Source organism: Homo sapiens, chromosome 6 (assembly GCF_000001405.40).
Source record: "Homo sapiens chromosome 6, GRCh38.p14 Primary Assembly".
Lineage (NCBI taxonomy): Eukaryota > Metazoa > Chordata > Mammalia > Primates > Hominidae > Homo > Homo sapiens.
Genome location: NC_000006.12, coordinates 145,607,212 through 145,628,922, shown reverse-complemented (window position 1 = coordinate 145,628,922; position 21,711 = coordinate 145,607,212). Strand labels below are relative to the sequence as shown.

At 38.8% G+C, this 21,711-nt stretch overlaps 1 protein-coding gene across 15 annotated transcripts in view, besides 1 other annotated feature; it reads left to right on the top strand.

The window, feature by feature from the left end:
- EPM2A (EPM2A glucan phosphatase, laforin) overlaps nt 1-21,711 on the top strand; it is a 352,671-nt gene that overhangs the window by 107,101 nt on the left and 223,859 nt on the right. For 12 of the 15 annotated variants that reach the window (NR_153398.2, NM_001360064.2, NM_001368131.1 and 9 more), the window contains one exon: nt 1,230-3,618. The exons of 2 other annotated variants lie outside the window; for them this stretch is intronic. Coding sequence is in view for 12 of the 13 variants with exons in the window: in NM_001360064.2 (NP_001346993.1) it covers nt 1,230-1,507 (278 nt within the window). In the remaining variant the exon portion in view is untranslated. Of the gene's footprint in view, nt 1-1,229; nt 3,619-21,711 lie in introns of those variants that run through there. One more of the 15 variants, NM_001018041.2, reaches the window with a different exon arrangement.
- Nucleotides 5,316-5,610: a silencer, noted in NCBI's record as "tiled region #9117; K562 Repressive non-DNase unmatched - State 24:Quies". NCBI's record gives its function as "represses a minimal TATA promoter and a strong SV40 promoter by Sharpr-MPRA in K562 cells {active_cell/tissue: K562}" and the evidence as "EXISTENCE:reporter gene assay evidence [ECO:0000049][PMID:27701403]".

The window sequence follows — 21,711 nt, the reverse complement described above, 5'->3', positions numbered from 1 at the left end:
GTGCTGATGCCTCATCTCAGTGTGTTGTGTTGGCTCCTTCAGGGGCACTTGTATTTCACCAAAGGACATCTAAAGAGGGAAGTCTAAACATGGGAGTGGCTGTCATGGGAGAATTCTGGGCCTCACGGCAGATCCCCAGGTGAAATCTTTCGAGGGAGGGGTGTTCCCATCTCTTTGGTCATCCAATAAGGATGGCAACGTGAAAGCCACAAAGAACTCTTGTGTGTGACCGTCGGAGGATCCTTTCGGGCCACTGTGTTCCTGTAGCTAGAGAATGCCAAGTCATGAGCCCTCAAAAGAGGGCTTTCTCATTTCCCTCTTCCTTTCCCTTTGAAATAATTTACATTGATCACCCGCTGAAAACAAACAAAAAACCCAACTTACAAAATATCTCTGTACTGAGAACCTGTGAGCAGGAGAAACTTCAGGCATCCAGGAGCTCAAGGAAGTGACTGTGGGGCGCTTCTCTGTCCCACGGGATGAGAGAGCGGAGCAGAGTCTACCAGGCCTCAGCAGGGCATAACGTGTCCTCTCCTGGCGTGTTGAGAAGATATTTGAATAATCTAATAATCAAAATGGTAACCTTGAAGTAAACCCCAAATTATAAAATTTCCTGAAAATATAGAAATTAAATCAGTTTTAGTATTCATTGTAACTCGAGGGAATAAATGAACAATTGGTTATCCATCTGTATCGAATGATGTTAGCCATTCCATTGAACAAATGAAAATGAGTGTATGTTGAATGAACAGATTGATTCCTTTAACTATTATGGGCCGCTTCTGTGTTTTACATTTAGCTGGAAGATACTTTTGGATTTACTGAAATTCAGGTGGCCAGACCTGACAACTATTTTTTTTTTTGAATCCTCTAAAATTCTGACCAATCTCTGCAAAAACTTCATGTGAAAGTGCATTCTGATGACAGGCGATAGGTCACTTTTCTTTGGAGGGATATTTGCATGGATGGCGAAGTCACCCAAAGGAGCAGCAATACCCAGGGAAGGATTAGAGAGAGCCTCTGGCCTCTGGAATGCTCTTTCCACTTTGCTATTAGCAGATTGTAAAATGGTCTCACTTTTTCCTTCACAATGCAGAAAGAAAGCAAACTCTCGTATCCCTGCCTGGCCCTGTGCAGCCCTGTGATTTCAGGCTGTGCTGGAGGAGACCTCAGCGGCGGTATCTGGTGGTTTAGTTATTCACATGTGTGCTGTGCTTTCCCCACCGCAGGCCGAGTACAGATGCTGCCCCAGGCGGTGTGCCTGCTGCATGCGCTGCTGGAGAAGGGACACATCGTGTACGTGCACTGCAACGCTGGGGTGGGCCGCTCCACCGCGGCTGTCTGCGGCTGGCTCCAGTATGTGATGGGCTGGAATCTGAGGAAGGTGCAGTATTTCCTCATGGCCAAGAGGCCGGCTGTCTACATTGACGAAGAGGCCTTGGCCCGGGCACAAGAAGATTTTTTCCAGAAATTTGGGAAGGTTCGTTCTTCTGTGTGTAGCCTGTAGCTGGTCAGCCTGCTTCTGCCCCCTCCTGATTTCCCTAAGGAGCCTGGGATGATGTTGGTCAAATGACCTAGAAACAAGGATTCTACCTGAACTGAAAGGACTGTGTGACCTCCCCCAAGCCAACCACTTTCACCTGGGATGACTTTCGATTATGCTTTGTTTTGGGGCTGTATTTTTGAAATACTCTACAAGAAAGCTGTGGCTCAACACATGAGAAGAAGCACGAAGCAGTTAGGCTGTACATCAGACAGAAGGGTAATGCGTGCAGTTCCTGCTGCCTGCAGGCAGACGAGGCCTTTGCTTTACAGCACTGTATGTGTTGCACGATGGATCCGTGACAGCACTTTCCTGTTGCACTGAAACTCTTGGCCATGTAGAGGAAAAGATATGGAGTTATGTGGATTTCATCACTAGTATGTGTGCGTGAGCTGGTCAGTTGCCAAAGGAGGAAATAAGGTTAGAAGCCTGAACCGTTACAAAAGAAGAGCTCACTATGGTCAAAAAGTGATGGCTTTCAGGACTTGTTTTTTATCCTGCCTCACAGTTGTTAAAGTCTGTTCCAAGGCATCACCTTCCTTCTCTACCCAACAACCCTGTGTAACAACTAAAGTAGAATTATCTCTCATTTGTTGTTGTTTTTCCTCAAAATTACCAAACAAAGCAAAAAATACCCTTGTTTTTTATAGTTGAGATGTCAAGAAGTTAAATTGAGGCTTAATGAGCATAGGTAGCTTGTCCAAGGTCTCATGACCAGTCAAGGGCAAGCTGGAGTTAATAATCTATATTTATTTGACTCAGCACTGTTTTCATCACAACTTGTTTTCCCAGCATCATGTAGTGCATTTAGTTTTGTCTTTCTCAGGGTATAGTCAATATGCCTGCAGGAGTTTCTATAGCGAGACATAGAATAGTATTCTGATCAGTTGCCAAAGAATCTAGGAAATTAGTTGTATTTTGTGCAAGCTAATTTAAAAACATGATGGGCTGTTTTAAGACCAGAGTGGAAATTCATGAGAGGAACTATACTACCAAAAGAGCCCAAATGACCAAATCCATGGATAATTGCTTCACAGCCTTGGCCATCCTGGCTCAGCTCTCAATTTAGTATAATATGCAGTTCCTGTGCCTCCAGACTATGCAGCTCATCACCCTAGGTTCTACAGGAAATACAGAGATGAACAACTTTGCCTTCAAAAATGTGCTGCCTAGAAACAGACCTGCATTCAACCAACTGTAATGCAGGATTGGACCATGAATGATATGCTAGAATAGAAGAAAGAGAAGTGTTTTTTTAATTGAGAGCCTCTATGTGCAAGGTGATATATAATCATATCCAGTTTAATCTTCACAATATCCAATGAAGAAGGTCTCATTATCTCCATGATAAAGATGGGGAAACTAAGGTCAGAAGGGTTAACTCAACTGTCTATTGTCACATGATGAATAAATAGATGAAGTGAGATACAAAGCTGGGTTTGATTCAAAGCCCTTACTTTCCTAATTAAACTATGATGCGTATTTATTTTTCTGCACCTTCCTTTCTTCCACAAACACATATTGATAGATGCAAGAGACTCTTATTTAGAAGGCGTGGGGGACAAGAAGGATACAAGGTAAGTTTCAGTGGAGCTCAGAGGACGGGGAGATAGAACTGTGGCACTTAGGGGAGATGACATTTGCTTTGGGCAGAGGCAGCTAGCCAGGACACATTTCCACTATAATTTTACAAAGTTAAATTTATAAGCTAGCATTAAGTAAAGTGAAGTCCAGCTCCCTTGCTAAAAATAACTAGAGGTAATAATTGGTATTCAGGTAACTCATTTACAGTCATAATGTGTTGTGAAAATTTAATCTTAAAAATTAAATTTTTAAACTATGTGGGTCTGTGAATTTCTTTAATGTCTAAGAAATCCAGCTTCATAATTTCCATGATACAAAGATCTTTTTTCAGGTGGATTTTTACCTTTGTTCCTTTTGCTCTGATAGACAAAATCAGTTTAGGACTATTAAAGAATGTTTTGGAATAAACTGTCTTTTTCCTCAATGAATGGGATGTCTAATGTATTTCAAAATCACCCAAAACTTTTGGCAAATAAAAGCATTTAAAAAGACCTTTCTGTACAGGATTTTTAAAATGTTATCAGCTTAGTCTGAAATCTAGAAGGACAAATTTTGTTTCCTTATTTGTAAAGGGGGCAATCCACTGAGCTAAATTGTTTATTTTTCTTGTCACTCTTCCTCTTTCAATTAAACGATCAAAATTGGCAGTTACATGATAAAGGAAGTCAAAGGTGAAGGACCACAGAGAAGTGAGGATGAAAACTTAGAGTGTGTCTGAGAAAATCAAAGCAGATATTATGCCATTAGCTGCTTGTCACTGGTGTTTAACAAAACTTTTCAATCACGGATTTCTCAAAGGCAATCATGAGAAGATCTCATTCATGGTGAAGGAAAGTCTGAATGAGGTGGTTTTCTTTCAGACTTGAAACATTATCTTTCTATCATTCTGCTTGCCAGCATTAGGAAAAATGTAAAACACAACACAAAACACTCTCTTTTGACCATCATTAAGGTGTGGTAAAAATCACTTGGCTTGGTGTAAGAAATAATGATGAAAAATGTGGTTAAGACTTTGGAAATGATAAGAAAGTAATGAAAGGAGAGATTTGAAAGTGAGTTAGGAAATAGGAAATGAAATGGAACTTGCCACACATGAAAAATCACTGAAGAGCTAAACGCAGAATCAGTTGGATCAGAAGTTAAAGCTGAAAGTGTCTTTAGAAATAATCTCATTTAATGCCTTTATTTTACAGAGGAGCAAACAGACCCACAGACATCAAATGACTTTTTCCTATTGCAAAGAGTTGTAACTGGGACCAAAGGTAAAGGATAAGTCAGGAAGAAAGGTTCGGAGATTTATTGTGATATTGAGATGTCATAGGAGAATTAATGGGAATGAGAGCAGACAGTATTGTTAGTGGGTAAGAAGTGGTGCAAGGATTAATAAAAATTGTAGTAAGAGGAAGAAAAATGGCTAAAATGAGAAAAAGCAAAGACCAGTGTCTTTTCCAAAAGAAGAAAAGGCAGGTGTTTTCTGTGGTGGTGAGAGCGAGAAGGTGTGACTGTAGAAGCAGAGGGGGAGATTCAAGGTTATGTGCCTGGGAAAGAGATGTGCTGTGTCCACTTATTTGTCTGTGGGACTAGATCGCAGTAGGAAAAGGGAGCAGCTAGATGTAACGTGCTGATCAAATCATGGCATAGGTGTGCCGTCACTGAGTACCTGCTAGAAAAAGAAGAAAACTGATAGAAGATGAGACTGAGAATAAAGGGGAAAGGATTGATGACACTACCCTCATTATAGCAATAATGACAATAATAAGAAAGAGGAAGAACAACCATAACAACAACTCTGTTCTTTGCTTCTCTAAGTCGTTGCTCTGAAAGTCTTCCCTGATTCCATTAATGGAAATACACTTGCAGCTGCTCAGGACCCAAACCTCAGTGTCATCCTTGACTCCTCTCTTTATTTCAAATGTCACATTCAAATCATCCAGAAATTCTGTTAAAGCATCTATAGCATCTGTGTTTTTCCTCCTTTACTGAACAACCCTGGTCAGAGCCAATGTGATCCCAAGACTACATTTCAGAAATGGTCTTCTACTTGGTCTCCCTGTTTCTGGCCTTCCCTCCCAGCCCCTTCCTCTATCAAAACTACTCTCACATAGTGGTCAGGATGCTTTGATAAAAATGTAACTCAGGCCTTGTCACTCCTGTGTTTAAAAGCTCCAATGACTCTCACGTCACTCAAGGTAAAAGTCAAAGCCCTTTGAGGTCCTGTACAATCTGGTCACCTGTTACCTCCTGACCACATCTCCTACTTACTGCCTTCCACCTCTCTCACTCTGCTCTAGCCATACTGGCCCTCTTGCTGTTCTTTGACTATTCCAGGCAGGCTCTGGCCTCAGGGCACTTGCTCCTGCTGTTCTCTTTACCTGGAATGCTGCTACTCCAGGTATGCACATGGCTCACTCTTCTCCCTCCTTCAGTGATGCCTCCCTGGACTACCCTATAAAAGATGGCCTGATCCAATCTCAGCCTTCCCAATCCACAGTCTCTGCTTTATTTTTCTTCATAGAACTTATTAATGGCCTACATATTACATAAGTTACTTATTTTATTTTCTATATGCTGTCACTGCAATGTAAGCTTCACTGCATTATAAAGGCAGAAATTTATATCTGTTTTGTTTTGTTCGGTGATGTACCTGGAGTGCCTATAACAGAGCCTGACATAGTTAAATGAGTGAAGGACAAGAGTAGCTAATAACCATTGAGAGCATACAATGTTATAGGTATTGTCTAAGTGCTTCACATGTATCAGTCTACCTTATCATTCCAAAATTGCTAGGGGATATTATCCCTGTTTTACAAATAAGGAAACTAAAGGATAGAGAGAAGGTGAACTTATTCTGAGGCAAGTAAAGATAGTTTTACTTCTGATTTGGTGGAATAAGCTCTTAATGAACCACCCATTATAATCTCTGTTCACAGTACATCTGTTTGCTGGGGCAGCCATAATAATGTACCACAGACTAGGAGGCTTAAGCAACAGAAATTTTTTCCTGGCATGGATCTGGAGTGTAGAAGTTGGAGATGAAAGGGTGAGCAGCGCCAGTTCCTCCTGAGGGCTGCGAGGGAGAATGTGTTCCATGCCGCTATTCTAGCTTCTGGTGGTTTGCCAGCAACCTTTGACGTTTCTTGGTTTGTAGAAGCATCACCTTGTTCTCTGCCTTCATCTTCACATGGTATTCTCCCAGTATGGGAGTCTGTGTCTAAATTTCCCATTTCTACAAGGATGGCAGCCACATTGAATTGGGCCCACTCGACTCTAATATGGCCTCTTCTTAACTAATTATATCTGTGATCACCTGATTTCTGAATAAGGTCACATTCTGAAGTAATGGAGGTTATGACTTCAACATTTGAATTTGAGGGAAACACAAATCAATGGACAACACTACAGAAAACAACTACCTGAAGGCTAGAGAGAGTGAAAGAAACCAGGCAGATTGGAGGGGAGTGGAAATGTGAAAAAAGGGACCAGATTGGGTTGAGTTTCCCATTTACAGGTTTAGCTTGTAAAAGAGAACTATTGAAAGAGTAGTCAGAGACAGACAGAAAACTGGGGCCATTCAAATAAAAGACAGGATGAATTCCTGTACTGTTGTTATATCAGGCATTATACCAACATTACTAAAGGACATATTTTAATAATATAAAAATGAAAATGATTGCTGTCCTCAAAAATCACTCCAAAATAGGTTAAGACTTAAGCATGAGTCCTGAAACAGTAGAACTCCTAGAAGAAAATATAGTGGAAGAACTTCTTGACATTGGTCTCAGCTATGATTTTTTTAGATGTGAAACTGAAAGCACAGGCAACAAAAGCAAAAATAAGCAAGTGGAAGTGCATCAAACTAAAAGGTTTCTGCACAGTAACAGAAACAAGAAAACAAATGAAAAGGCAACCTACACAATGGAATATTTGCAAACCATAATATGTCTGATAAGGAGTTAATATCCAAATGCATAAGGAACCCAAACACGTCACAAGCAAAAGAACAAATAACTCAATCTAAAAATGGGCACAGGACCTGAAAAGACATTTCTCCAAAGAAGACATACAAATGGCTAAGAGGTATATGAAAAGGTGCTCAGCATCATTAATCATTAGGGAAATACTGTTTAAAACCACAATGAGATATCAACCTCACACCTGTTAGGATGTAAAAAAAAAAAAAAGCAAGAGATAGTAAATGTTGGCAAGGGTGTGTGGAGAAAAGGGAATCCTTGCACAGTCTTGGTGAGAATGTAAATCAGTACAGCCGTTATGGAAAACAATATGGAGTTTTCTAAAAAAATTAAACCTATAACTTCCATTTAATTCAGCAGTCTCACTTCTGGGTATATATCCAAAGTAAATAAAATCAGTATCTTGAAGAAATTTCTGCACTTCCATGTTCATTGCAGCATTATTTGTGATAGTCAAGTATGGTAACTAAGTATCCAATGACAGATGAATGAATAAAGACAATGTGGTGGATATATAAACAGTGGAATATTATTCAGCCTTAAACAGAAGGAAATCTCATCATTTGCAACAACAGCGTTAAAACTTGAGGACCTTGTGCTAAGTAAAATAAGCCAGGCACAGAAAGACAAATACTTCATAATCTCATTTATATGTGGAATCTTTAAAAAGCCAAATTCATGTAACAGTGAATAAAATGGTAGTTACCAGGGGCTGAGAAGTTGGAGGAAAGAGGAGATGTTGGTCAAATGGTACAAACCTTTAGTTTTAAGATGAATAAGTCCTGGAGACCTAATTAATTACAACATGATGATGACAATAATAATGTATTGTATACTTGAAATTTGCTAAGAACACAGTAGATCACAAGTGTCCTCACCATAAAAAAGGGAGGTATATGAGATAATGGATATGTTAATTAGCTTGATTGTGGTAATCATTTCCCAATGTATGTATAATTGTACACCCTAAATAATACAATATTTGACAGTTATACCTCAATAAGGCTGAAAAAATTGCTGTTATTTAAAAACTGAACAATATGCAATTACTATTAAATGAACTAGTATGGCACCAGAATGGTGTGGATTATAAAGGAGAAAATTAGCAGAAACTAGACAGTGAAAGAATGGAGAGCTGGACCTTGAACAGAACAGGTCATTGTCATTACCATACTTATCAAGACTTTATCAATTTCTAGTGAGAGAAAACTCAGAATTCACTGAATAGAATTTACTGTTCGCTGTATATAAAATGGTTAAAAGTGGAATTATATATTTTTATTTGATAGAAATCCTTATTGCTGCCTTCTTAATATTAAATGACTAATCTAAAGATGGAAATAAGGCCTAAACCAGTGGTCTCCAACCCCTGTGGCTCAGTTCCTAACAGGCCACAGTAGTGGTCCATGGCCTGTTAGGAACCGGGCCACACAGCAGGAAGTGAGTGGCAGGTCAGTGAGCTTTACTGCCTGAGCTCTGCCTCCTGTCAGATCAGCAGCGGCATCAGATTGTCAGCGGATTGTGAACTGTATTGTGAACTGCACATGCGAGGGATCTAGGTTGCACGCTCCTTATGAGAATCTATCTAATGCACGATGATCTGAGGTGGAACAGTGTCATCCCAAAACCATACTCCCCTCGCCTCCCTGTCCATGGAAAAAATGTCTTTCACAAAACTGGTCCCTGGTTCCAAAAAGGTTGGGGACCACTGGTCTAAACAATTTCAGAGATTTTACACCCATAGTGGATAAACAAAGTGAGTATCCCTCATTCTTTATAGACTGGTGTTTAAACGATGCTAATTACTGCTCAGCACCTCATATGTTTCAGGGGCTTAAGCCATGTTTATATGTTAGGATTTCTGATAATATTTAGACCTGTTTGCATTTGTTCATTTTTTTATTTCAAAAATGTTTTGACCTTTTCTATGTGTCTCTTCTTGCTTTTTATTTTTTATAATTATGTCTTCCTCCTTACAACGGAGAACTTTAACACTGACTTATGCTCACTGGTATTTATACTTCCTTCATGTTGACATGATTACAACTATAATTATGAGTTGTTTTAGATATACTTCCTCTTTTTCTTTTTGTGTTCTTAAATTTTTTTTTTAATTGTGAGGAAGGCAAAAAAGAAATGTTGGTGGGGACATAATCTTCATTGCCGGACAGACCTATGATTACCACTCCACCCCATTTCTAGCTTTCTTAACTATCCTAGATTCCATTACTACTGAGAATTTAAGCCCAGTTACTCTCAAGGTTCCAGTGAGCTTATGAGTGCCCAGCTCTCCTGCAGTACTGCATCCCCTCATAAGGTATTCTGAGTCACATCTTCCTTTGCTTTCCATCAGCTCACTTCCAAAATCATTCTATCATCCTGAGCTATCTTATCTGCTAGTAATCCTTCTTAACTGCCTCTTCATTGTTGCAGGTGAATTTCTGTCTTCAGATTTTATATTGTAATTTCCATTCAGATGTCAGGAGGAGTAGTGTGTTTGCCAGTTTAAACCAGAATTTTCTCAATCATCGTCTATAGTAATGATATCCAAATCTCAATCCCCATTCCACTGCTTTCTTCTGAGTACAAGGCTTATATATCAATTTGTTTCAAAACATCTTTCAGAATATCTCCCAAACTCAATATTCCCCAATTTTTTTTTTTTGCCAGACCTCCCATACTTTCTCTGTTGAGCAGACACTGGCAACATCTTCCCCTAATTTCCCAAGTTAGAAACTTGAATGCCATCTTTGCCATCTCTCCTCCATTTACCACCCTCCTAACCATTTGACAAATTACTTTCATTATGCTTCCTAAATATCTCTTAAATATAACTACTCCCCTCTGTCCACGCTGACCTGGATTGTTAAAGCTTCCTGGCTTATCTTCCTCTTGTAATCCTTACCCCTTTCAAGATCATTCTTGACACTGCTGCCTGAGAGACCTTTCTACTTCAAATATACTACTGTCTCTTTCTTGCTCAATATTCCTCAATGGCTCCTCGTTTTTCTCAGAAAAAAGTAAAAAATCCTTAACGTGACATTGTATTAGTCTGTTCTCACACTGCTAATAAAGACATACCTGAGACTGGGTAATTTATAAAGGAAAGAGGTTTAATTGACTCACAGTTTAGCATGGCCTGGGAGGCCTAAGGAAACTTATGATCATCGCAGAAGGAGAAGCAAACACCACCTTCTTCACATAGCAGCAGGAAGGAGAAGTGCTGAGCAAAAGGGGGAAAAGCCTTGTATCAAACCATCAGATCTCATGAGAACTCACTATCATGAGAACAACATGAGGATGACCACTGCCATGATTAAATTACCTCCCACTGGGTTTCTCCCATGACACATGGGGATTATGGGAACTACAATTCAAGATGAGATTTGGGTGGGGACACAACCAAACCATATCAGACATATGAGGGTCTTTACGATTTGTACTGTGTCCTTCTCTCCAATCTCTGTTGTCATTCTTATAACCATCTCCCAAAAGTGCTTGTTAGCCACAGTGAATTGCTTAAAGGTTCAACAATCTTTTGTATCCTTGGGGTTTTGCACATATTTTTTCCTCTGCCTGGAATCCTCTTCCCTCCTATCTATATCTGGTGAGCATCAACTCATCCTTTGGGTCTTTGAAGACACCCTCTCTGAGGCATCTTCATGAGTCCTCAAGGGTGCTTCTTCCAGGCATTTTCATAGAACCCCTCTTAATGTGCTGTACTATAACATGAGCTATAACATCATTAGGTAGAAACTGTAAACAGTGCTTGGCAAACAGGCTTTGGCCCATTCTATGACAGTTAAGCCAGGTACTCTTTGGATTCTGTGTTCAGATCTAATGTGTATTTTATTATGTTTTTTAATTAAAAAAATTTTTTTTGAGACAGGATCTTGCTTTGTCATCCAGGTTGGAGTACAGTGGTGCGATAACAGCTCATTGCAGCCTCTACCTTCCTGGGCTCAAGTGAGCCTCCCACCTCAGCTTCTTGAGTATCTGGGACTACCGGTGTTTGCCATCATACTAGGCTAATTTTTAAAAGTTTGTTCTAAAGATGGGGGTCTCACTATGTCACCCAGGCTGGTCTCAAACTCCTGGGATTAAGTGACACTCCTGCCTTGGTCTCCCAAAGTGTTGGCATTACAGGCATGAGCCACAGCACCAGGCCAGATCTAATGTATATTTCAATCTAAGAGAAATGTGAAGAAAATATTAAATGAGAACTTTAGTTTCCTGTAAGTCAATGAATGGGGTAATTTATTCAATGAAAGTACTATCAGTATCTTCATTTTGTGCCTTATTTTGTTTTAAGCATTTTAATAACGATTTCTCTTTCTATATAATACTAGTATTTAGTTATATTAAAGCAGAGTAACATCCTATAAAATATTGTGTTTTTAGCCTATCCTCTTTGTATTAGTCTGTGTTCATGCTGCTGATAAAGACATAATTGAGACTCGGTTATTTACACAGGAGGAAGGGATTTAATGGACTTACAGTTCCATGTGGCTGGGAAGGCCTCATAATCATGCTGGAAGGTGAACGGCACATCTCATATGGTAGCAGACAAGAGAAGAAGAAAACTTGTGCAGGGAAACTCCCCTTTTTAAAATCATCAGATCTTGTGAGACTTATTCACTATCATGAAGACAGCACAGAAAAGACCTGCCCCCATGATTCAGTTACCTCCTATTGGGTTCCTTCCACAACATGTGGCAATTCAAGATGAAATTTGGGTAGGGACACAGCCAATCCATATCATTCCACCCCTGACCCCTCCCAAATCTCACATCCTTATATTTCAAAACCAATGATGCCCTCCCAGCAGTCACCCAAAGTCTCAACTCATTTCAGCATTAACTCAAAAGTCCACAGTCCAAAGTCTCATCTGACACCAGGCAAGTTCCTTCCACCTATGAGCCTGTAAAATCAAAAGCAAGTTACTTCCTAGATACAATGGGGGTGCAGGCATTGGGTAAATACAATCATTCCAAATAGGAGACATTGGCCAAATCAAAGGGGCTACAGGCCCCATGCAAGTTCGATACCCAGTGGGACAGTCAAATCTTAAAATTCCAAAATGATCTCCTTTGACTCCATGTCTCATGTCCAGGTCACGCTGATGCAAGAGGTGGGTTCCCATGGCCTTGGGCAGCTCCACCCCTGTGGCTTTGCAGGGTATAGCCCCCCTGCTGGCTGCTTTCATGGGCTGGCATTGAGTATCTGTAGCTTTTCCAGGCACACAGTGCAAGCTGTCAGTGGATCTACCATTCTGGGGTCTGGAGGACTGTGGCCCTCTTCTCACAGCTCCACTAGGCAGTGCCCCAGTAGGGACTCTGAGTAGGTGCTCTGACCCCACATTTCCCTTCCTCGCTGCCCTAGCAGAGGTTCTCCATGAGAGCCCTGCCCCTGCAGCACACCTCTACCTGGGCATCCAAGCATTTCCATGCATCTTCTTAAATCTAGGCAGAGGTTCCCAAACCCCTATTCTTGACTTCTGTGCACTGGCAGGCTCAACACCACGTGGAAGCTGCCAAGGCTTGAGGCTTGCTCGCTCTGAAGCCATGGCCTGAGCTCTATGTTGGCCCCTTTCAGCCATGGCTGGAACAGCTGGGATGCAGGGCATCACATTTCTAGGCTGCACATAGCATGGGGATCCTGGGCCTGGCCCATGAAACCACTTTTTCATCCTAGGCCTCTGGGCCTGTGATGGGAGGGGCTGCAGTGAAGACCTGACATGCCCTGAAGACATTTTCCCCATTGTCTTGGGTATTCACATTTGGTTCCTCATTACTTATGCAAATTTCTGCAGCTTGCCTAAATTTCTCCTTAGAAAATGGGATTTTCTTTTCTATTGCTTTGTCAGGCTGCAAATTTTCCAAACTTTTATGCTTTGTTTCCCTTTTAAAACTGAATGCCTTTAACAGCACCCGAGTCACATCTTGAATGCTTTGCTTCTTAGAAATTTCTTCTGCCAGATACCCTAAATCATCTCTGTCAAGTTCAAAGTTCCATAAATCTCTCGGGGAGGGGCAAAATGCCACCAATCTCTTTGCTAAAACATAGCAAGAGTCACCTTTACTCCAGATCCCAACAAGTTCCTCATCTCCATGTGAGACCACCTCAGCTTGGATTTCATTGTCCATATCACTATCAGCATTTTGGTCAAAGCCATTCAACAAGTCTCTAGGAAGTTCCAAACTTCCCACATTTTCCTGTCTTCTTCTGAGCCCTCCAAACTGTTCCAGCCCCTGCCTGTTACCCAGATCCAAAGTTGCTTCCTCATTTTCAGGTATTTACAGCAGCACCCCACTCTACCGTACTAATACTGTAAATTGGTACCCCAATTTACTGTATTAGTCTGTTTTCGTGCTGTTAATAAAGACATACCCGAGACTGAGTAATTTATACAGGAAAAAGGGTTTTAATGGACTTACAGTTCCATGTGGCTGGGAGGGCCTCACAATCATGGCAGAAGGTGAAGGGCATGTCTCACATGACAGCAGACAAGAGAAGAGGGTTTATGGAGAGAAAATCCCCTTTTGTAAAACCATCAGATCTTGTGAGACTTATTCACTATTATCATGAGAACAGCACAGGAAAGATCTGCCCCCATGATTCAGTTACCTCCCACTGGGTTCCTCCCACAACATGTGGGAATTCAAGATGAGATTTGGGTGGGGACACAGCTAAACCATATCATGCTTGCTGAAAATTGCATGTATTCAACCCTGTTTTGGCTTGCCATCATGGGCTAATACCGATGGCCATAAAAAATAATAACCCTATGAAAGACATTGCTTGCTGTGTGTACTAAGTACACAGGGATGCCTTGTTTGACTGTGCTTCCCTTTATTGTGCTTCACAGATACTGTGTTTTCTATAAATTAAAGGTTTGTGGCAACCATGCATCAATAAAATCCACTGGAGACATTTTTCTAACAGCATGTACTCACTTTGTGTCTACACTTTTGCAATTCTCACAATATTTCAAATTTCATTATTATTCTATCTACTATGGTGATTTGTGATCTGTGATGTTTGATGTTGGTATTGTAATTGCTTTGGGGTGCCATGAACTGTGCCTGTATAAGACAGCAAACTTAATTGATAGATGTTGTGCAGTTGTGACTGCCCCACTGACTTGCCATTTCCTCATCTCCCTCTCCTTAGGCCTCCCTATTCCTTAAGACACAACAATCCTGAAATTAAGCCAGTTAATAACTCTGCAATACCCTCTAAGTGCTCAAGTGAGATGAAGAGTTGCATGTCTCTTACTTTAAATTAAAAGCTAGAAATGATTGAGCTTAGTGAGGAAGACATTTTGAAAGCCGAGGTCAGCTGAAAGCTAGGCCTTTTGTGCCAAACAGCCAAGTTGTTAAGTGCAAATAAAAGGTTCTTGAAGGAAATTAGAAGTGTTACTCCAGCAAATACACAGATATAGTAAGAAGGCAAAACAGTCTTATTACTGATATGGAGAAAGTTTTAGTGGTCTAGATGGATCAAACCAGCCACAACACTTTCTCTTAAGTCAAAGCCTAATCCAGAGCAAAGCCCTAACTCTCTTCAATTTTATGATGGCTGAGAAAGGCGAGGAGGTTGGAGAAGAAGTTTGAAGCTAGCAGAGGTTGGTTGATGAGGTTTAAAGAAATAAGTTGTCTCCATAAAATAAAAGTACAAGGTGAAACAGCAAGTGCTGATATAGCAGCTGCGGCAAGTTATCCGGAAGACCTAGCTAAGATCATTGGTGAAGGCAGGTACACTAAACAACAGATTTTCAATGTAAACAAAACAGCCTTCTATTAGAAGAAGATGCCATTTAAGACTTTCATAGCTAAAGAGGAGATGTCAATGCCTGGCTTCAAATCTTTAAAGGACAGTTTGCCTCTCTTGTCAGGTGCTACTGTAGCTGGTGACTTTAAGTTGAAGCCAGATGCTCATTAATCATTATGAAGACCCTAAGGTCCTTAAGAATTATGCTAAATCTTATCTGCCTGTGCTCTATAAATAAAACAACAAATCTTGGAGGACAGTACATCTCTTTACAATATGGTTTACTGAGTATATTAACACCAGTGTTGAGACCTACTGCTCAGAAAAAAAATCTCTTTCCAAATACAAATGCTTATTGACAAGATACCTGCTCACCCAAAGGTTTTGATAAATATGTCTAGGGAGATTTATGTTGTTTTTATGCCTGCCAACACGACATTCATTCTGTAATCCATGGATTAATGAGTAATTTTGACCCTTAAGTCTTATTATTTAAGGAATATTTCAAAAAGCTGTAACTTCCATAGTGATTCCTCTTGATGGATCTAGGCAAAGAAAATTGAAAATCTTCTTGAAAAGATTCATCATCCTAGATGCCATTAAGAACATTTATGATTCATAGGTGGAGGTAAAAATGTCAGCAAAAGGAGTTTGGTAGAAGTTGATTTCAACCATCCTGAATGACTTTGAGGGATTCAAGACTTCAGTAAAGGAAGTAACTGCAGATATGCTAGATAATGGCAAGAGAACTGGAAACAGTAGTGGAGTCCGAAGATGTGACTGAATAGCTGAAATATCATGATAAAACTTGAACAGATGAGAAGTTGCTTTTTATGAATGAACAAATAAAGTGGTTTCCTGCGATGTTAACAACTAGTGGAGATGCCGTGAACATTGTGGAAACGACAACAAATGATTTAGAATACTGAATAACTTTAATTAATAAATAATGGCAGGGTTTGAGAGGATTAACTCCAATTTTGAGTTAAGTTCTGCTTTGGGTAAAATGTGATCAAACAGCATCACATGCTACAAAGAAATATTTCATGAAAGGAAGAGTCAATGGATATGGCAAACTTCATTATTGTCTTATTTTATGAAATTGCCACAGCCAGCCCAACATTCAGCAGCTACCATCCTGATCAGTCAGCAGCTGCCACCCTGATCAGTCAGTGCCATCAACATTGAGGCAAGATCCTCCTCCAGCAAAAGATTATGACTTGCTGAAGGTCAGATGATTATCAGCATTTTAGCAATAAAGTATTTTTACTTAAGGTATATATATATATATAAAATACATATATACCTATATATAATATAATATATATAATATATATAAATAATATTGTACTCTTAATAGATAACAATGAATATAAACATAGCTTTTATAAGCATTGAGAAATGAAAAAAAATTGTGTGACTTGCTTTATTGTGATACTGACTTTATTGCAGTGGTCTGGCACCAAATCTGCAGTATCTCTGAGGTTTGCCTGTGTTGTTGATTGTATTACATTTCACAGTATTCTCCCAGTGAATGACCTCATGAAAGAAATTGTTTTCTGGCCAAAGAATAAAGCATAATTGTTATTCTTGAGCAAATAAAAAAGATAATTTGTGTTACCATGAGGCTTACAAGTAATTATTTTCTTCTTCCCACCAGCAACTAAGATTATGAGTGCATGTTTTTTGAACAAACTTTACTCTTTTCTCTGCTTTGTATTTCTACCCATTTTACCCATTTATCTGTCTTATTTTAAATTTTCATCCTGAAATATTGTTTGATCCATTATAAAATGCAAAATCTAATTTCTTTAAAAACAGAGATATAAATAAATACGCAAATAAAATTGTTGTCATGTTATAGCACTTGCATAATATAGAAGCTGACATTCATGAATACTAGTAATATAAATGTCAAAAAATGGTGAAATGTCATGAAATATACATGTTTCAGGGTAAAATTCTATCATTTGGAAATTAAGATACTCTAAAAATAGAATTGCCTTTTATTCTTCACCAAATATGCACAAATATTGGAGGATTGTCTCACATCTGTAAAATGTCCCCATGCCTATATGTTGACTTGATTGGTAGATTCTTTTCATCATTAAGCAAGAATAGAGTTCAAGCCATCAACATGGTTTCCCTGCATCTAAAACTTCACAGATGGAGAAGTGTTTTTTTTTCTTCTTCTAGATAATTCAACAACTTGGCTAATTATATTGTCTTTATAATTTAGTATCAATGGAGTAAATAACCAGATGTGACCACCAGTTCTTCTTCCTATATTCTGTTGAACATATAAACAGCTGCAGTTCTCAGAAAGTAATAAATAAAACTTACAACTAAAATATTAAGCAAACTTAGTGACCTGTTACATTTGTCTAAATAGTGGGTTTCTCTCTTCCAGAGAAAATTGCAGACAATGTATTGTTATTACATTGACAATATTTCCTTTGGAAGTTAACAACTGTTAATTTTTTTCTATTTATAGTATATCACTTTCTCTAAAGGTAATAAAATTTGTTGGCCCATTACTTAAAATATTTCTATTCCTATAAACACAGGAAATTTTTGAATATTATTAATCTATTAAGCTGATGAGTGGAAAGTGGAGATGGCTGTCTTTGGAAGGTATTTGATCATTATATATGAAACCAACTAGGCAAAGGAGTCTTGTATATAATTACTGGCAAGCAGAAGTCGAAGTTGTCTAAATAAAATTTGTTTTCTTATCTAGATATTTAAATAGTTCTGAATATTCATGCAAAATAATAAGTGATATAAAACAAAATAAATCTCTTTGCAAGGTGATTTTAAGGTGTCCATAAGCAAACATCTTAGTTTAATTTGAAACATTTGCCAATTTTTTTTCTAGGAATTACTTTCATAAAGATACTTGTCAGTACAGAATATATTTTATCTGTTCGTGGTCTATTTTTTCATATATGCTTTAATTATTGTTTTTAATGACAGAAATAGAGGATAAATAAATTAAATCTAAATCTTAGTCATGAGTTAATTTTCCTGTAGCTCATTATAGAACTGTTATCAAATGTTGCAAAATTAAAAAAGGAAGCAAACTGGTTTAGTAGTAGTTCAAATGAAAATAATTTAGGGCATTTAAATGAGCTAGCCATTTTCTGTTGCTTCCAGAAAGGCTAACAAAATGATGGGTTGATTCCTTACACACAAAAGGATACAGTGAGTGCTCAGGTCCTGATCATCAAAAGTAAAGTGCAAGACTTTTGCTCTGACCACTATTCAATTGAAAGATTACATTAAGTTCTACTCAACAAGTCTGAAGAAGGATATCAATATTTACAAATTAGACAGTGTTCCCAAAAGGATTTCTGATTTCTTCAGAAATGTAGACAGAGAAAACAAGACCTAGAAATCTTTTTGTACTAGTAATTTCACATTTTGAACAACTGTAAACATGCTTACTACCTTCCAGCTTTTGTGCAGAACTTTCACTCACTGAGTACTCACAACGACTTTGTTAAGTGGATGTAATTGTGGAAATACATAGAAAGTAGCTTAGGATGACTAGCATGGAGAAGAGAAGACTATACAAGGAAATAAGAGTCTTTCAATATTTGAAGGATTGCTGTATAAATAAGGCAATTACTTTGTGCTTTTTGCTTTAGAGGGCAGAAGTAAGATTCATGGTTAGGAGTTTTAGAGCGGTAGCTTTTGACTTCTTTTAAGAAGCAACTTTCTAAACAGAGTTGGAAAATTGTTAAATAGATTCCCTTGTGAGATAAGGAGCTTCCTACCACTAAAGGATTTCAAAGCCGAAATTGAAAACTCTCTCCAAATTTTTTTTTTTTTTTTTGAGACGGAGTCTTGCTCTGTCGCCCAGGCTGGAGTGCAGTGGCACGATCTTGGCTCACTGCAACCTCCTCCTCCCGGGTTTAAGCAGTTCTCTGCCTCAGCCTCCTAAGTAGCTGGGATTACAGGCGCGTGCCACCAGGCCCCGCTAATTTTTGTATTTTTAGTAGAGACAGGGTTTCACCATCTTGGCCAGGCTGGTCTTGAACTCCTGACCTCGTGATCCAACTGCCTCGGCCTCCCAAAGTGCTGGGATTACAGGCATGAGCCACTGCGCCTGGCCCAAAAATGTTTTTAAAAGGATTGATAAATGGATGAAAGATTTCATCATATAAATTCCAAGGTCCCTTCCAAAGTAACTGTCTGTTTCCAATTGTTGATTTATGTCAATTCCCAATTTGCTGTTTTTCCTTAAAGGACACCAAAGAACAAGAGGAGAGTCCAAAAGTCCTACCACACTCAAAGAGAAAATTGAATGTTCAATTGGCTCTTGCACTTTCCTAAGAGAAGACAGAGTTAAAAAATGTACAGCTGAACAAGCTGTAACCCTTCTGTAGCTATTCAGGGATTCACATTACGTGTGTAGAAAACACTGGAATAACTTGTCTGAAGTCAAATGGAATGAGCCATGGATAGCTTCTCTAATAAGAACTTCAAAAGAGAAAGGCAGCCATAGCTTGCAGGAGAGAATAAGCCATCTTTCCCACAAGAATCAGCTCCTAAAATAATTTAGAGTTTATGTAACTGTCTTGATTAGGTATAAATTATGATCTTCCCATGTACCTTCCATGTGAAATTTTTACTCACAATTCTTTGTGAACACGTTAAAGTTTAAAACAAACCTGACAAAAATCTTATCTGATGGTAGTAAAACAAATTTAAATTTTGTTAAATTTTTAAGTTTTGTTCATTCCTGGACCCAGTTCCAAGATTATTGGCGGCTGACTTAATTCTATTGGCCATGTTAGATTAGGTATATTCACTGGTCAAGTTCTGCTCTCCTATTTATTTTAACTTTGAGCTCAGCATAGAGTCCGATCAAATTAATTGGCTTAGAGCATTATGTAAGGCAAGTGTATTAGACATGCCAGGATTTTACTATTTCCTTACTCTTCTGACTAAAATACCATCACCTCCTCTCCCACTGGAAGAACTTCCTTCTTTTTACTGTTTCAAAGGACAACAGCTGCTTGCTAAGATGATGTCTTAGCCAAATACATTAAAGACAAGCATTCTTGTGACTATGATCACATTTCTCAAATAAACAATTTCCTGAGTAGTTTTCTATTTTCCCTGCTATTTCATTTCTTCTCTTTGATATAATTTGTTGCCTATTTGGTTAAGTCAGTTCAATATTTGGGTTACTTAGATTATCTGTTGTCTGTCCCAAAGTAGAGGTACTTAGCTTATAATGGGAGCTGGCTCTTAGATGCTCAGTCTGAGAGTAGCTCTTTTTATTTTGCCTTTTTCTCCATGGCATGCTTGCATTGCTGTTCCTTCAGCACAGTGTATGGCTCTTTGAAAATACAGCAAACTTAATCCAGGACCCCCAAACAGCTCTTCTTTTGCATGTCTGTTGTTTAAAAATGGGTTGAACTGACTGTGATTTTTTTTTTCTTTAGTACCACAGTAGAGAGTAGATTGACTAAGGATGAAATAGGAACATTTCTTCTCATTTACCGGGATCTTGAACTGTTTATGACGTGGTATGGGTGAAACAAATGAAAGGGATTACAAAGAAATTTTTCATATGATGAAGTACAGAAAGCAAAAGTCATTCCACAAAATAACATTAAGGGGGAATTAATGAAATAGTTTTTAACATTTAATTCTGATACTGTTTTCTGGCTTTGGAAGGTGTATATGTCTGTGCATGCATGCTTGTGCCTGAAACTGCAGATTGTAATGATCCCTATAAACACTATACTTTTTTCCTATACATCCTATACATACCTATGATAAAGTTTAATTTATAAGTTAGGCACAACAAGAGATTAACAATGATAACCACAAGGAGAAATTAACAATAGCTAATAAGAAAATCGAACAATGATAACAGTATACTGTAATAAAAGTTATGTGAATGTGGTCTCTCTCTCTCGAAATATCTTTTTGTGTGGAAAATTGTATGTAGTATTTTGGGACCATAGATGATTAAAACAATAGAAGGAGACATCACAGCTAAAGAACTGCTGCTGTACTCAGAAACAACAGCCTGAGGGGCAATTGTCAGTGACAGAGTGTTAAGGACAGGAGAGAAACAGCAAGGCAGTAACATGGTAAGCGTTGGCCTCACATGATAGCAAGAGCTTTGAAGTATAAATGTAATTTTCCTTTTACCTGCTCACTCTCTGGATTTTTAGTACCCTGAATACAGGACAGATGGGGATGGCAATTCCATGGCAATGGGAGATGCAAAGAACAGTAACGTATCTCTTTTCCATGTCCTCTGCTCTGCCCCACTGTTGATCAGAGCAGTGGTATCATCATCAGTCTCCTGTTTCAAGCCACAGGCTAGTGTTATTTTTACCTCTTCTGCATTCTTTATTCTGTACATGTACTTTATTGCAAGACCAAATTTCATTTTTGTTTCATCTTTTCCCCTCATACCTCTCCCACTTTTCCCAGACTCCTTGACTTCACCTGCCTTCCAGTTTCCACTGTCATTGTGTGGTCGGCATTGTTTTCTTCACCTATCGTTTTACCCCTTAAAAGGGGCAAAAATTCTTCCTAAAATGCTTTTTCCCATCTGCCGTCAAAGCTTTGCAGTGACTTGTTGCTGATTATGTTCTCCAGAATGCAAAGAGTCACATACTGTACAGCAGAGCCTCATGGAGCAAGCCTGGAACTAAATTTTCTTGGTTTCTATTCTTTGATTCATGAGTCTTTGATCATATTAGACAAATCTGTCCCAAGCTCCCATGATACAGTCATTTGAGTCCAAATGGCAAACCTTTAGGAAAACAGCCTCATAAGCCTTAATTAGATATTTTTTCTCTTTCAAAC